Here is an 18,194-nt window from a genome sequence, read left to right as displayed (position 1 = left end):
AGGCCCTATGCCAGATGTACTCCAAGGATCTGCAGAATGATCATTTGCAGCAGGATTTGAGGAACAGAGGGATATATACAACTCAATGTTTGCCTCAAAGCACAAGAGCAGCTCATGTCATTTTCTTTTTCTTTTTCTTTTTTTCTTTTTTTCTTTTTTTTTTCTTTTTTTTTTTTTTCTTGAGATGGAGTCTCGCTCTGTCACCAGGCTGGAGTGCAATGGCGCGATCTCAGCTCGCTGCAACCTCTGCCTCCTGGGTTCAAGCGATTCTTCTGCCTCAGCCTCCTGAGTAGCTGGGACTACAGGTGTGTGTCACCATGCTCTGCCAATTTTTGTATTTTTAGTAGAGATGGGGTTTCATCATGATGGCCAAGATGATCTCGATCTCTTCACCTCGTGATTCACCAGCCTCGGCCTCCCAAAGTGGTGAGATTGCAGGCATGAGCCACCATGCCTGGCCCAGCTCATGTCATTTTCATATCTCTGAAGCTAAAGGTAAAAAGAAATGAGACAAACCCATCCTTTTTTCCTTTATAAGAAGTTGAGATCAAGCAGTGTAATCAAATGCTCAGAGCCAGTCACCTTCTACGGTGTTGATTCTCGCCTTTCTGGGAAATGGGTTAGTAATATCTAATGTAGTGATTCTCAATACTGATTATGAATCAAAATTACCTGGAGGAATTACTGATGCTTGGGATCCATCTTTATTGAACTGGACTTGCATAGACCCAGCATCAGTACTTTTAATAAAAACCTAGATGCTTCTGATATGTAACCAGCATTGAGCATCAGTACTTTTAATAAAACCCTAGGTGCTTCTGATATGTAACAAGCATTGAGAATCACTGATCCAATTGAAAGCACATGCTCCCACAGTGTGATCAGGATATTTACAAAGCTCCTACTCTCTTAGCTAATATAGCATGCATAGGTGTCCCTAAACAAGGGAGGTGATAGCCACAAGGAACTATACAGTGAATAAGTCACATTTGGAGTTTAGGGGCCATTCTGGAAATGTAGAAATTCAGAGTATGTTCTACGCTGCAATAAAAAAGACCATAGACCAGATCATAAAGGAGACTTAGTTATAAACTTATTTGACAAGTCTCCTCATCTCTCTGCCCCACTGATTCCACTTCTGAAAAAAACAGGAGTATTTGAAAGTCTCTAAGGACCAAACCAGCCCTAAAATTTTCTCAATTTTTGATTCTAGGTCACAAGAGAGTCCCAGAAGAACAGTGAGAGCATATTGGGAACAGTCAGATTGGATGTGAAAACTTTTCTTAAATATAAGAAAAGCATCAGGGAAAATAGAAAAGAGATTGCTTGACTCTGCTCGAGGGTGGAGGGGTGGGTGATAACAAGCCCTGGTCAGCTGAGGTTATGAGGAGGCAGACCTTAGCTCAATATAATGAAAAATACTGTTATTGAACCTACATTGAGAACAAATCATTACTTAAATAATATTGAGCTCCCTGTCTTGAGAAGTATTCTAGAAAAAATTTGGGGTCTTTATTTTTTTATTTCCTCCCAACTGCAGATTGAGGGGAAAATTTTTAAAAGTCCTTGAGATCAAGGACTTTGCATTATACTTCTGTATCTTCCCTGGATAAGATTGTACCTGGAGCCCAGTATATGCCCAGTAAGTACTGGTGGAATGTCAAAAATATTTGACAACCAACCTGATATGGAATCAATCCATAGAGTGGACGCAGACCCATGGCTCTGCTCAGCCAAGTGATTTCCTTTCGGTTATATGATCCTGTGGAGTTCAGGAGACAGAATGTCAGAATGAGAGGCATGGGGGTGAGTTTAGAGCAGTAATTATTTTAAAATTCCAGTATTTTAAGATCATCATGCCTATCTATGCATATGAGATGAACGTTAGTCTTGCTTCATGAATGCATGAATGAATCAATCAAGGATATTGTGGAGAGAAAGAAAATGAGTGTTGGAATGTAGTCCTGCTCTGCCATTAACTGTCTGGGTGAAGCTGAGCCAATTTCAGACCTCTCTACCTCAGTTCTCTATAAGCTGAGAACTTACAGTCTTGCCCTAAGATATTAATGATTATGAGGCTCACAGGAAAGATCAGATGTACGGTTACATTACAAAGTTAAATAATTCTGTTCAAATACTAGTTTTGATTATTAAAATATCGTGTGGACATGACTCCTTCCTGATGCAGCCTAATTTTGCCACCTCTGGGGTCCATAGCATATCTTTTTCTCTCTAGGAAATGAGAAGGTAATTTCCATTCCTGATTCCTTCCACTCCAGCCCCACTTTGGAAAAGACTCATCTCTCCAGTTCCTTCCCCTGATACTACTGTGGTTGCTAAGCAACAAGGCGCTAAGGAGGAGCACAATGTAATTGTCCCAGGAAGGGAATCCCAGGTCCAACAATGACTAGATTTTAGTTTTGGAAACTTTGCTTTCCTGGCTGCAAGAAATTCACTAAAGGAAGCTTTCTTGGCACACTTATCCTTGTAAGCATCCTCCAAGAGACTGGCTTTCACTACTTGAAAGGCAACAAGGTAGAGAAGAGCATTCTTCTGGGTTTTCATTTTCTGGCTCTTTGGTAAATTTGTCACTGCGACTTCAGAGTGCTCCAAATATGAAGCAATATTTGAAATGTTCCCAATTCCTAGCAGGGCCTTAGGAGCCCTGCCGTCAGGAGTTTATGTTTATATCACTCTGTTGGCATAGGAGCCAAAAAGAGATCTCAGAGGAATACCACAGAATCATGGAGGTTCTTCTTTCTCCCTAAAAATCCCACCCACATGGGCTGTAAGAGAAAAAGGGATGCACAGAAAGGTCATTGTAGGGATGGCTTGTTTACGTTAAAAGGGAATCTATTAAAAAGATAAAGGTGAACCTCCTAGAAGACAGATATCAGAAGTATAGTCAGGCCTCATGGGAATTGGGAAGTTGCCAGGCAGCTCCTCTGTCTCCCTCTCCAGGGCCATACTGACTCTTGCCTGCCTGTGTTTCTTTTTATCCATCTGGAGACAAATTTTCTTTGCAAGATTCTTGCTTTTGCTCCTATATAACTTTAGCTTACATCTGACTTTGGTTTTCCTAACCCTCCATGATAACCTCCAACTGTTTTGGCAATCTTTTCTGGAATACAGCTTCCTCATAGGAAAATATCTGATTGCCTTCAGTGCGTCAAAGGCACATTCCTGGTACCCATGGCTGAGGCCAAGAAGATGGTACCCCCGTGGCCCAGTAGCCCCAAGCACTTCTTCAGCAGGACTACAGGGAATGTGTCAAAGATGGGGCTGGCCCTCCAGGTCGATTTAGAATGAAGAGTAAAGACTCTCCGTGAATTTACATACTTGCAACACAAGGTCATCTTGTAACAGGAGAAGAATTTGGATTTGAAGTTAGACAGGTTTGAATTTGACTCACCCTGAGGAAAACTAGTCAAGCTACCTCTCTGCATTTTAGCTTCTTCATCTGAAAAAAATGAGCTTATAGATAGTAGCACCAACTCTTTAGAGTTTCAATGAGGATTAAATGCAGTTAAATGAAATAATGTATGAAAAGCACCTATGTGGCCAAGGTTATGTTAGGGGCTGTGAGAGTACAGGAGATACATAGCATATGTATTTGTCAATAAACGTTCATTAGAACTTAGTATATTTGACCTGAACTTGGTACTGCAAATATAAAAACTATGATGAAATGTTTTTCACCTTGATAACTTTTAGTTTTTTAAAGAGACTCATGCAATGTATGTGAACCCAATCTGTCATTCTACTGCTTTCATCTCTTAGTGTTTGAACCTGAAGAACAGAGGTTACTGCTTATTCTTAACCTCATACCCAAGGCCAGCTCTAGCTATTAGTAGCAGAAGAGTCCTCCATACACAGCCCTTCCCTTGTGATATGGTTTGGCTATGCTCCCACCCAAGTCTCATCTTGAATTGTATTAATAGTTCCCATAATCCCCATGTGTTGTAGGCGGGACCACGTGGGAGGTGATTAGATTATGGGGGCAGTTCCCCCATGCTGTTCTTTTGATAGTGAGTTCTCATGAGAGCTGATGGTTTCATAAGGGGCTTTCCTCCTCTTCACTCTGCACTTCTCTTTCCTGCCATGTGAAGAAGGATGTGTTTGCTTCCCTTTCTGCCATGATTGTAAGTTTCCTGAGGCCTCCCCAGCAATGAGGAACTGTGAGTTAATTAAACCTCTTTTCTTTGTAAATTACCCAGTCTCAGCTATTTCTTCACAGCAGTGTGAAAATGGACTAATATGCCTATCTCATGCAGCTTGCAATTTTGTCAGACAAGACGACATGTAAACAGTAAGAAAAAAATACAAGACATGATATGGAACTATATCTGCTATTGACTAATGTGAGTGTATAGAAGGGATTATCTTATAGGAAAGAGCTTAGGTGAGATGACCTATAAAGTGTTCTCTATCTATATGATACTATGAAGCTAAGAGATGGAAAGAAGAGAGAGATCCAAGTAAGCCACAGTTAAGATGCAAGCTTTTATGGACAACTTGAACTGCCTTGAAAAGAAGCAAAGGACATAGATAGAAAGGAACCTGGCTAGTCCTAGCTAGATCATTCAGGTTTACCATGGAGTATTTTAGAAACATGTGAAATTGTCAGCCTATTATTGCTAAATAGAGTTGGTTCTTAGTTTGGTGAACATCATATGAGCATTAGAGAGATCTGGGTAGAGGACAGTTTTTTAATGGTAGGAGGATGGCCATGGGAAAACATTAATTTGAGCTCTGCTTCCTGAACATTGGATTCATTTCAAACTCTGAAGTTGAAATCCACAGAGTCACTCTTTGTTCCTTGATAGTTATTTGCATCAGCGCACCTATCAAATATAGTACTGTGGATCTTGACACTAGATAGATCTTTAAAAATGTCATTTGGTTCAACCCCAGCTCCAAGTGATTCAATACAAGATCCATGGAACTGAACCAGTTGGGAAACTGAGACAAATTGAGGAAAGTTTTACACCCAGTAGTTGTTGGAACTGGGATTTAAAGCCCGGTAATTTGACTCCAGAGCCCATCCTCTTATCCATTGCTTCACATAGCCATTCTATTGCACGACTGCCTAGCCAGAAAGCAGCAAAGAGATACCTGGATGCTCCTTACATGGCCTCTTTAGTAAGTATTGAATAGGCTTGTTGATTTCAGCCTTCTAAACTAAACAAATCATTGAGACTTCAAATTAAAGAGCTGGCAGTTTGTTAGAGATCACTTGGACCAAAACAATTCATTTTCGTGATGAGAGAAAACTGAGAACCAGAAAGATAAGCATGCAGGTAATAAAGCCAGATTTAAAACTAGCACATTGGGCTGTAGTTTCAGAGTCCTTCCCATTGTATTCAGATGCCAGGGCTTGGTTACACTTTCTGCAGACCAATGCACACCAGGAAAAAGAAAACTAGGAACTAGGAGGTTCGGCAAATGGCCATCTCAGTGAGCCTTCAAAGGAGAGATATCTGGGCAGTATCTCTTTGAGAAAATAATTTGACATACACTTTGCAATTGTTCATTTTCCATTTAAACGGTGGTCCAAAGAAAACAAAATTGGGTTGAATGTTTCATTTAGACCAATATTCTCTCAGCCAATTACTTAAATTTTTGTCTTGTAATAATTGAAAGTAACAAAATGTTTCAGAGTAAAAGTAAAAGAAACAATATTTTGAGAGGTTAAAAACAAGCCGTAAGTATGAAATATGTATGAGGTATTTCTGAAAATGGTTGGCACACTTTTTGCAAAGAAAAATTAATAATTACAATGTCATATATTCATATTGAAAATGTAGGCTACATCCATCCTTAATATTATAAGCCACTGGACACAATGGTAGGGACTGTGGAATATACTATGAAAGGTAAGATTCCATCCTAGCCTGGGAGATACATTTAATCCAGATAGATGCTTAAATCCCTTAGTTTCAGGTCAGCAGAGAAGTTGATTGAAGATCCCTCTGAATTCAATAAAAAATGATGATTGAGTACAATAACTCACAACTTTGCTTATCCAGATCCTCAGTCAATTTTACCAAAGTCATATACACCTGGACATCTCCCATAGTATTATAAATGAATACATTTCCTTATGGACAATATTGTGGAAACCCATAATATTGTCTCTAATCACTCTGTATCATCCATTATTTAAAATTGGGGAAAAAAACTTGTATCTAAAAATAATTTTCATCAAGCCCTGTCTGACATTTTTTTCAACCGATTAAATTATATGTGTGTGTATATTCATTTTCATTTTATTCCTCAACTTCTCCACCGTCAGTTCCTTCTCTCTAAACAATGAGATGATGTGTATAAGACAGTAGAGCACAGTGTCTGACACATAAGATGGCAAGCAAATGAGAGTGGTTTCCACATCACCTGGATTATATTTATTTTTTGTATCATTTCATCAAGTCATTTAAAATTCTGTTTGTGGGCTAGGTGCCGTGGATCACTCTTATAATCCCAGCACTTCGGGAGGCCGAAGAAGCAGGATCATTTGAGCCCAGGAGTTTGAGACCGACCTGGACAACATAGGGAGACCCCATCTCTACAAAACATTTGTTTTTAATAGCTAGGCATGGTAGTACACACCTGTGGTCCTAGCTACTCGGGAGGCTGGGGTGAGAAGATTGCTTGAGCCTGGGAGGTATAGGCTGCTCTAACTTGTGACTGTGCCACTGCACTCCAGTCTGGGTGGCAGAGTGAGCTATCGTCTCTAATAATAATAATAATGATAATAATAAAATTCTGTTTATGGTGATGTAACAACTTTTAGATAGTATTACTATCTGTATCTAATGCTTTAACCACTGCAGCAACCTGTATATGGTTGCAGCATTGTGATGTATAACGCAATTACCTCTAACCAATATTCTCAAGTTTGAGAACAGAAAGGAAAAATAAAATGAACAAGCTAATAAAACTTAACTTTCTTAAACCTTCATGCATAAGATAAAATGTTGACTTGTTTGTGCATGCTAGTCTTTCAATAAGAATGCCTCTTTAATGAAAGTAGTGACTACGCCTTTTCTCTAGCATAATAAAACACAAGGCTGATAGAAGGCAATTATATTCCTTATCTTAGGATTTATATATTTATTAGTTGTGCCAGAGCAGGTGTGAAAAGAGTTGGAACTTAATGCTGTGTCTGTGAAGAAGGTGTGACAGACTTTGGGTAAAAGTCATGGCTGAAAGCCATGGGTCAGCAAGATAAGCAGGGCAAGCCTTCCCCCAGCGACACTAAGTTTAGACACAATGGAGATAAAGAGTCAAAGATAAAGTTGTGGGTGTGCCAATAAGCAGACAGGACACTGTGAGAGTAAATCTAGGGTGGCAACACCCTGCCACCAGCCTCTGGAAGACCTGCTCATGACCCCGGGAGAAGGAAGGAGATTGCAAGACTAAGGCAGGGACCTACATCTGGCAATGCGGATACAAGGCAAATCAGACCAATGGGAAATGATGGTCATAATAGAGATTACAGCAAATGGGGAGTTCTACGAATCCACAGAGGGGATGTCCAAGAAGGCATCTCTGTTTCTGAAACTTCAGTGGAGGGATCCTACTGGTCAGAGTGGAACCACTGTAGGGCAGTGAGTCATGTCCAATGATCAGTACAGAAATAGGCTATCCTGGCAGGAAATTAAATATTCAGCACCAGATCATGTTAGGCTGCTCCAACAAGACTTGCACAAACCAGTTTCTTTTTATCACCCTATTGGTTAAAAGGGAGATGAAAAGATTACTTAAAATTTTTCCTTAAATCAGATTGGTTTGAATGGGATTTAAGTTTATGTGGAAATCAGTCTGTCTATTGTGAAGAGGGAGGGAAGACACCAGCAGGAGAACTGAGGAGGCAGCATGAGAGATGCTGCTGAAAATGTCCTCATACATTGTAAAAACAGTTTCTCTTATCTACTCAGTAGCTTTTACTCAAGGTCTAGTTTTCAGTTAGTTAGCTAAATCTGTTAGCTTGGAAAAAAAATCAGAAGTATTGTATCTCTAGTATAAATACAAGTGTTCTGTCTTGCCCAGGGGATTTTAAGTGAAGGAGGGAAAGAAGCACTCTGCTTCAGTGATTTCAAAGTATTTATTGGATACTAACTACTACTAGGGATTTTCCTTGCCATAGATTTCTCCATGCCACAACTCATCCCTAACATTTGATACCTCCCCACAAACAAACATCTGCATAAACTATTTTCTGTATTTATCATCAAGCTTTCCCTGTAGTGCCTAGATCAGATACTTACCTGTTTAGCCCTTGTGATTCTGAAGAGGTACTGCAAGGAAGTCAAAATGTAAAGTACAAGATTCTCTCAAAAAGGAAGATGCACTGAGGGAAACCTGATATTCTACACTATTTCTTTCCTTAAGGCATTTGCTGATTCAGAAAACCCACATGGAGCAAGCGTCTGAAACAGCAGGTAGAAGGTAGAAGCTAAAAGGTAGAAAAGCTGAGCAGAGTTTGACAATATCAGAAGCTGAGAAGGAAAAAAAATGCACCATAGGGCTTTCAAGGCAGCTAGGACTTGAAGGGCCAAAGTCACAGAGAAGGAAAACACAAATGGGGTCCTACCTGGCCATACACACTAACATTCAGGAGACTCTGGCCTTGGGGGGGAAAGAGACCTAGAGAAGGGAAGCAGTTCAGCTGAAGACATACAGGAGTCCTGGCCAGAGGAGGCAACAACCGATTGGATCACCTTCTCAGGAGTAGTTACCAGATTATTTGCAAGCTCCAACCAGATCCTTCTCTACCGTGATCTCCCTCTACTCTGTTATTGAAATTCCCCAGCTCTCTGTATCACTCTACATGACTTTGCTGGCTAAGCAGAACTTGAGGTTAACACTAAGGGTAACTTATAGTAGGTTTTTAGTTATATGGAGAAATAAATAGATTTCTGTTTCCGGCTACAATGGAGTAACTTGCATTGTACCTACTCACCTGCTTAGAATAAAGCACATCTCTTCGAAGGCATTTGAGAACAATCAAGGAAGTCAAAACGTTAGGTGCCAGGATTCTCTCAAAAAGGAAAATGCATTGAGGAAAACCTGGTAGTCTTCACTATTTCTTTCCTCAAAGCATTTGCTGATTCAGAAAACTCACATAAAGCAAGAGTCTGAAAAACGAAGTAGAAAGTAGAAGCAAAAAGGTAGAAGAGCTGAGCAGAGTCTGATAATATCAGAAACTGAGAAGAAAAAAAAAATGCAGTTTAGGGCTTCCAAGGCAGCTAGGACTTGAAGGACCAAAGACACTGAGAAGAAAAACACAAATAATTAAACTCTTATACCGTTTTTCCTAGTGAGGAGTATGATGGTTCCCAAACAGGAGATTGAGAGGTCAAAGAGAAAACACACTAACAGGCTAAAAATCTAAACAGAGTTATTGTGCAGACAAAATATGTGAAAAAAAATTTATAGTTCAGGCTCCACCAAGAAAGAGGAGTTCTGATAAGTATTCCCAGGCTTTCATCTAAAATTCCTGAAGCCTTCATCTTAAAGGTAAGGGTAACCTAGAAACACAATGATCTCTGATCAAAATGGAATAGGCCTTAGAGTGATAGAAGTCCAGCTCCAAATCAGTTCAATATCTGACTAAATTAAGGTAAACTGCTCATAAAGATCAAAAATACATTTTTTCCAGATGAATGTGACATTGACCAGAACTTCTGTAATTTTTGTACATAATATCTAGCATTCAATCAATAGTACTAGGCATTACGAGTTCCCCAAGGTTAGGACTCATAGGAGAGGAATGAAAAGAGGTTTATTAATATGTACAAATACACAGTTAGATAAAAGAAAAAAGACCTAGTGTTCAATAGGTCAGTAGAGTGACTATAGTTTACAACAATCTATTGTACATTTTAAAGTAGCTAAAAGAGAATAATATGCATAAAGAAAAGACATATATTTGAATATACTAAATTATCACATATACTCTGAAAAGATGTACATCTATTCTGTGTCAAATTAAAAAACTTAAAAAGTTACTAAGCATTTAAAAAGATGAATAAAAGAAAAAAGAATAAAGCAGTAAAATGTTATCCAGATTTTGGAGTTATCAGTTACGGATTGTAAAATACCTGCTATTTACATATTTAGAAAAAGAGAAGTTGCAAAAGTTAACCAGATGCATACCTCTTATTAAAAAGAAAAGAAATAGAAATTCTAGAAGAAAAAACTCGGTGACAGAAAGTAAGGGTTTTATAAATGGGTTTATTGGCAGATTAAATACAATGAAAGAGAGGACTGGTAAACTGGCAGTTAGGACAATAAAATATATCCAGCCTCAAGCATAGACAAATGGAAAAACTGGAAAGATGTGCATGGCTCATGAACTATAAAGCATGATTTAACGTATTTCAAAGGATTAAAACATTTTAAAAGTCACAGAATGATCTCTGATCAAAATAAAATTAACTGGCCGGGCATGGTGGCTCACACCTGTAATGCCAGCATTTTGGGAGGCTGAAATAAGAAGATCGCTTGAGCCCAGGAATTCAAGACCAGCCTTGGCAATATAGGGAGACCCTGCTTTTACAAAAAAAAAAAAAAAAAAAAGAATAAATAAATAATATTAAATGTACCTAGTATGTACCCACAAAAATTAAAATTAAAAAATGGCATTAGCTATAAATTAGTATCAAAGAGGTAATCCATTAAAATCATAAAATCCCTATCTGGAATTAAGCAATGTACTTCTAAATAGTTCATGAGTCAAAGAAGAAATCACAATAAAAATCACGATGATAGATTATAACTAACTGAAATACAATATAATGAAACTTTGGCAATGCAGCTAAAGTCATGATTTGAATAAAACTTGTAGCCCTAACATATATAATGGAAAATTGTAGAAGCTAAAAAATCAATCAATCAATCATCTCATTATCAGTTTACAGAAGTTAGGAAAAAGAACAGCAAAATAAATCTATACAAGCAGAAGAAAGGAAATAATAAATATTTTAAATAATAGCAGAAATTAATTAAAAAGACAGTAAAGATACAATAAATTAATAAACCCAAAGACAATATTTTGTAAAAGGTTAAATAGTTTCTTAAACACTCATATGTAGGTACATGATTCACAAGTTTAAAATGACTTTACCAGCAAAATATAACTATTGTGTTCTTATCATTGACCTGCATACAGTCAAACATTTCTGAGCTGCTTCCAGTCATTGTTTAAATAAGTACAAAAAATTTTAAAATTTGGTGTTCTGCAATCAAATTTGTTTATGAGCCTATTTTTAATTATATATATTTGGGTTTGCATTTATATGTGTTACACAAGTAATATTCTTAAATGCATACATATACATATTTGTGATTAAGATTTCAATTTGATTCAGCAAATATTTTTGCATTTTCAATTTGCTAGGCACTGGAAGTAGAGCAGCAATGAAGACAGATGTAGTCCTGGCATTCCTCAAGCTTATAGTCTAATAGGAACGTCTACACTGAGAAAGAAAAAAAAGAAAAGAAGGAAGAAAAGAAGAAACCCTTCTCTGACACTTCATAGACAAAAAACAAGAGGAGATGATTATTTAAGTTCATCAGGTTTTTGTCTTTTATTTTTAACCCTATAATCCTCTCCTTTCTATTACCTGGTTAATTCAGATTAATTATTGATTTTGATTCTGTTTGGTCTACATGTCTCAGCTCTTTTCCACCATTATTTCACCCGATTCTGTACACTAAGCCTTATATAATTTTATATATTTCCCTAAAATATTTATTTGAATAATTTACGTGGTTCTCAAGGAAAGGGTTCTGAATGGAGTCATGGCTCTTAGGTGCATGACTCTTAGGTATTAGATGCAGACTGGGCATTAAAGAAGTATTTGTAACCGCGCATGGTGGCTCACGCCTGTAATCCCAGCACTTTGGGAGGCTGAGGCGGGAGGATCACGAGGTCAAGAGATTGAGACCATCCTGGCCAACATGGTGAAACTCCATCTCTACTAAAAATGTAAAAATTAGCTGGGTGTGGTTGTGTGTGCCTGTAGTCCCAGCTACTCAGGGGGCTGAGGCAGAAGAATCACTTGAACCCGGGAGGCGGAGGTTGTAATAAGATGAGAGTGCACCACTGCACTCCAGCCTGGCAACAGAGCAAGATTCTATCTCAAAAACAAAAAAAGAAAGAAAAGAAAAGAAATATTTGTATTAAATAAATATTTGAAATGACAGAAACTAAAAATGAAAAATGTTTGTCTTACACTGTGCAGCAGGGATATTGTAGCCGGATTAGACTTACTCTTCTTTTTATGCCATTGCTTAATATTCTATGTCCCTTCCCTGGTCTTTTCTTCCTCTTCTCTGCCTACTTATGAATGTCAGCATTTTCAGGGGCCTTCCTCAACCCTCAACTCCTCCCAGAAGCCTACTGCTGAAGACTACAGTAAAACCTGTATCCTCTGAAGAACCACTGCACATCCCATTTCTATCACTCATTGGCTCTTCTGGTTTCCCACCTGTATCTCTCGATATCTTTCCCCACATGCATGTCTTGTCTCTTGAGTAGAAACCCATCAGCAAGGAGATGTCTGTTATAGATGCTATGAAAAATACAAACAAAGCACACACCTTCTCACCCATCCACATGCACACATTGAGCTTTGATGGCTTCTCTTCCAGTTTTTGCCTAATTCTTAATAGAGCTTGTGGTAAATAACCTGATGTCAATTCACTCATTCTTCCCCCAAAATAATAGAATTTCCACATTTTTTATGAATACTGGGAATAAAGATTACACTTCCAGCCTCCTCTGCACCAAGTCATGGCCGAATGATTCCGGCCAATGTCATGATAGTAAAAGTGGTATATACAATTTCAGGAAATGCCTTTCCTGACATTTCTTTTCTCCATACTAACACAGTACCTAGAATGCAGTTGCTGCCACTTGGACCAAGAGATTGAGACTATGCACTAAAGGAGCATGGTATCTCAGAGTACTATGTCAGTCCAGGATCATCTACCCATATTTTACATAAAAAATCAACGCTCTTGTAGTTTCTAACTGTTAGGTTAGAATTTTCTTCACTTACTTTCACTCTCTGACCTACTCCTAACTAATCAAGGCTCTTCAACAGGATATAATGTTAATATTCCTGTGGCTCAATAAACTAATAGTGTAGTAATAATGACCACATTATGCAGAGTAAGTAAGGTTTCATTGTGCTTGAATTCCAAAGTCAATACACATTACATACTTTTGATTGGTTCTTAAGGAGAATTTATATTACTATATGGCCCTTCCTAGCCAAACTTATCTGCCTCATTAAGTGAAATGAGTATCCATAGACTGATTTTATTGTGTTATGACATTGTTACCAGAGGTTTCCTGTTAAAATATTAGTTTGTACCTGAAATGAAAATCTGAAGCTTACACATTTATGGTTAACACCTCAAAGGGTGTAAAATTGGCAAATAGGGAACATCGATTTTAGTTTTTGTTCTACAGTAAAGTTTTAGTTCTAGAGCAAAGATCATCAATAGGTGAAAACTTTTGCCTTAATGATTATTCTATGTGCAAATCATGAGTTAATCTTCAGTGTTCCAGGCAAAACCAGGTTAAATTATTTTTTTTTCAGGCAACATGAGACCCATTCCTGAGCCCTCCAAGATCTGCCAGGAGTTATAGCACTTTCCAAGGCTCCATGCTTTTAAATAGCCTCTTTCTTCAGATAATATTTTTCTACTTTCTGGTTTTTTCCCCCTGAGTTTAAAGTGTTCTGCTTTTTAGGGGAAAACTAGTAATTGCCTTAATTAATTCAACTTAGACTATTAATGGACTGCCCTGTATATATGTAAGGGTGTTAATTTCTTCCTCTCATTGCATGTACCCTACAGTGGGAATGGCACCTGCCCTGTCCTACTCTGGTTACTAGGGAAGTAACAGACTCCTTGGAAAAAACAACGTTGAGATGGAGAGGGAAGGGGTGAAACTGGGAAATGCTAAATCTGAATTCAGAGTATCTGGCCTCATCATTCAGGTAACACACTGATCTTTGTGAATCCTTAGGAAGGGGAAAATAATTGGAAGTCATCTAACTGTAGTCCTGAACAGAGCAAAAAGGCCTCTGGAGACCCCTGGCTGACTTGGATTTATCATTTAACAAACTCAGAATGTCTTAGGTGGAGGTTAAGTAGTCTTTGAAAGTGATGGGGAAGATGGATTTGTGCTGAACCTCTTCTACCATTTACATTTTGTGTTTTAACCTCACAGATATTTTAAGGAATAAAGGAAGTTGACGGGTGGAAATCTGAAGGTGAATTAAATAATTGGAAGTTATGATGAATTGCCATTCCATCTGTGTATTGCCTTTAATCTCTGGGTGAGTATCATACAACCTTTATGGAGACTAACTAAAAGAAAAGCATTTTTGGCCAGGTGTGGTGGCTCACACCTGCAATCCCAGCACTTTGGGAGGCCGAGGCGGGTGGATCACCTGAGGTCAGGAGATCGAGACCAGCCTGGCCAACATGGTGAAACTTCGTCTCTACTAAAATTACAAAAACAATAGTTGGGCATGGTGGTGGACGCCTGTAATCCTAGCTACTTGGGAGGCTGAGGCAGGAGAATCGCTTCAATCCTGGAGGCAGAGGTTGCAGTCAGCCAAGATTATGCCACTGAGCTCAACCCTGGGCGACAGAGTGAGACTCGGTCTCAAAAAAAAAGCATCTTTTGAATTTCCACAGACTCATTTGCATCTTAGAAATAACTTGGCATAATAATAAAAAGACGTTCTTCAGGGCCATGTAGACCCAAATGTCAATATTAGCTTTGTCCCTTTGCTAACAGTATGACCACAAGCCCATTATGTAAAAATTTGGGGAGTCAGTTTCTCTTTCTGTAAATACATATCTGTCTTCATCGTTATTATAAAGTTTACATAATATAGACAAAACATTTCTAGCACATTGTTAATTTCCAATGCTATTATAATGTTAGAATCTCAGCCAAAAGCCGTTTGGAGCAGGTATAGAGTGCTCCCTTTATTTTATCACCAACCCAATAGCCAGGGATATGCAAAGACACTGGTATGATGTTAGGAGTTTTCACCACAGTTCTGAGGCTGGAACATCCAACATCATTATCTTGAAACCCAGAATTGTGGTGAAGGCAGACGTCTCTCCGGGTACATCTAAGGCTCGCCTTGGTGAATAATAGCATAGATAGTCTCATGGGGTTTCATGTGTCCTATAATTCTTTGCACAGCAAGCTTTTGTCTTTGTTATTTTATTCCAGCCACTGCAGCAGATCTGACCCAATTTAGCTGTTACTATATCCTTTCTGCAAAAAAATGAATCTCAGAGAAGGCCAGGGCTGTTGCATGACTTCCATAACTCACTGCATGTTTGCCTGCCATTTCCCAGCTCATGAGCATCTGTGGAGCCAAGTTTTATCCGGGCCCTTTCAGTAACTAGTTTGGGTTGGATTTCTGGGTTCTTTTATCTACGGCTTTCACCATCTGGCAAAAGAAGCTGACTAAGTGTTAGTTGCAACAAGTGGTTGCCTATTTAGTGTGATATGCGGGTGCTACCAAAGAGTTCTCGGTTGGGTTCCACAATGGCTATTTCCATTGCATCAAGCCTTACAGCTCCAGAAGGCATCTCACAGCTAAAACATACAGATCACCCAGGAGAGAAGAAAGGTTGGTGTGATTTGCACATTTGTATCCATTAATCAACATGTTGGCACAAATTGGTTACCAGAGTAGCTGGCTGTATTCTTGGAAATCTGGAAACCAAGCCTGGAGGGGAAAGAACAGAACACAAGGCTTCAGTGGTTAGATAAGGGCAGACAGCAAGGAAAGCTTTTGGGTTTTCAAGTCCAGTCCTGGGTGAGTCTGCTGTGGGACACATGGAGGAACCAGTATCAGCATCAGGGAACTGATTTGTGGAGGATAGGACCCTAAAGACACCAAGGTGTCTAATGATGGGTAGGAATATGGATGAATGTTCTTTTCTTCTTTGTACTTTTCAAATTCTTTAAATATATGTGATGTGACAAATGTCATGAGAAAAATATTAACCATACAGGAATTTTAAAGATTGAAATTCTATGATTCCATGCCTGACATTTCATGGTTGAAAGGAGCAACTAAGTGATCATTACAAGTATGGTTACAGCCCATGTAGGGTTTGATGCCTTCTTCATGGTTTTCTTGTTACAGTCACTTTATTTTATTGCCTCTCTGACTTATTGTGTATGTCCATCATCCCACTTTTCACCCCTAAGATCCCACTTTAGCATGACTCCTTCACTCTACCTTCTCTAGTGGCATTCATGATACAATTGTGGCTATTTAATTAAAAGACTATTCACAGAACATTTCTTTTTCCAAGGAGAAAATGCCTATGTCTATTAATGGAAGCCAATCCTTAACCAAATGTTAGTGATTCAATGCAGTTAGGACCCTCAAGTCAGAAATTTATAGGTAACTGATTTAGTTCCTCAGTATCTTTTTGCTCTGTATAGACACAAGTTGTCTGAACCACCTTGATCCAATAATTCTGGGAATAAATAAATTTGATCAGACTTGACTAGTGTAGCTGTCTACATAGATCCAAGGCTCCTTTTTCCTTTCAGCAGCAGTTGCCTGAGGCTGAGTTTCTGACTGGCAGTGGTTTGGTCAACCATGTCATTTCAGCCAGCTTCAAGCTGAATTCAAGTAGCACAAGCCAAAATGATCAATTAAGTCAGGATACCCAAGACATGAACTAGACTTTCAGCTTGGACACCATAAATCTAGACTTCTCAGGTCCTTAGTTATGTCATCTAGAAAATGAGGATAAAGGTTTTAGCCTAGTTAATTAACTCAAGCTACTATCAGGATAAAATTAGGTTGTAAATATTGCAATCCTCTGAAAGTTAAAGTGCTGTATACATGAGCAGCACTTTCATTAACAGACTGACCACTGCATAATCCAATTAGTTCAGTCAAGATTTAACCAGGCCTCAGAAGGAGAGAGCATGTTACCGTGTGAGAACAGCCTGCTTAAGGGCCATCCCTGGCATCCAATTTGCCACTTTTTCCTGTTTTTACTCTCGTTTAGCCCTAGAAACACTGCAAGTGATTTCCATGTGATTTAGGAAAGTAATGGAGCAAAGAGACTATCTGTAAACATAAAGAATACAATGGGAAACATTATGTGTGTATATAAAGAAAGAGAAATAAAACCAGGCAAAAAAAACTTTATCGCTTGTCTCAGAAGAATTATAAAATTAGTGGATGAAGGGCATGTTGTTACTTTTTTATATTTGCATTTTGCCAGTGAAAATCCTCATGATATTTTTACTGTACTTGTAGTCTGGCTCTTCTACCTGCCACATGAATTGAAAACTGAGTTTTTGGAGCCGGGGATTTCTGGAAGATGTGGAATGGGAGAAAGCCTGAGGTGGTGATAAGCCAGCAGCTTTCCCTGGTGCAAAGCTGAGCAGGTGCACAGCATCAGGCCTGATTTGGGCTGCTCACATCCAAGCTTCAGACTCTCTTAAGATGCTTTTCTGGGGAACACATTCTTCACTCTCCACTCCCTTCATCTGTACTTCATTGTAAAAAAGGAAGTTAAACCAAAACGAAATAAATGTTAAGATAGAACCTCAGGATTCTAACCATGATACTTTTGCTTTACTGCTCTGATGTGATCATTCTAATGCTTTTGAAAGATTCATGTATTGATGTTTGATCTATATTTGAAGGAATTTGCTTCTACATTGCAAAGTTGGTTAATTTGTTTATCCAGTTTGCTATGGATGGAATTAAGCGCCCCCTTCCAATACCCACATTGAAGCTCTAATCCCTATTGTGACTATATCTGGGCATAGGGCTTTCAGGAGGTAATTGAGGTTACACGAGAACATAATGGTGGAGCCCTAATCTGATAGGGTTGGTGGACTTCTACGTAGAGGAAGAGCCAGAAATGTCTTCTTCCCTCTCTTTCCGCCACATGAGGACACAGTGAGAAGCTGGCTGCCTGCAAGTCAGGATGAGAGCCCTTATCAGACATCCAATTCACCACCACACTGATCTTGGATTTACCAGCCTCTAAAACTGTGAGAAAATAAATTTCTGTTGGTAAAACCGTCCAGTCTTGTTTTGGCATCCCAGGTTTACTAATATGTAATTTCCTGGGACCATTTATTCTCAATTTAGGATGAATTT

General features: G+C 38.7%; 1 long non-coding RNA gene across 1 annotated transcript; it reads left to right on the top strand.

Annotated features, from left to right (window-relative positions):
• LOC105372089 (uncharacterized) lies at window positions 11,426–17,635 on the top strand. The gene is made up of 4 exons (XR_935417.3): window positions 11,426–11,583; window positions 13,876–14,018; window positions 14,252–14,360; window positions 17,340–17,635. It is a non-coding gene; the product is annotated as an uncharacterized LOC105372089 (long non-coding RNA).
• Window positions 17,636–18,194: the final 559 nt, after the last annotated feature.

Source organism: Homo sapiens, chromosome 18 (assembly GCF_000001405.40).
Source record: "Homo sapiens chromosome 18, GRCh38.p14 Primary Assembly".
Classification (NCBI taxonomy): Eukaryota; Metazoa; Chordata; class Mammalia; order Primates; family Hominidae; genus Homo; species Homo sapiens.
Note: the sequence above shows the minus strand (reverse complement) of the source record. Positions and strands in the feature narration are given on the sequence as shown.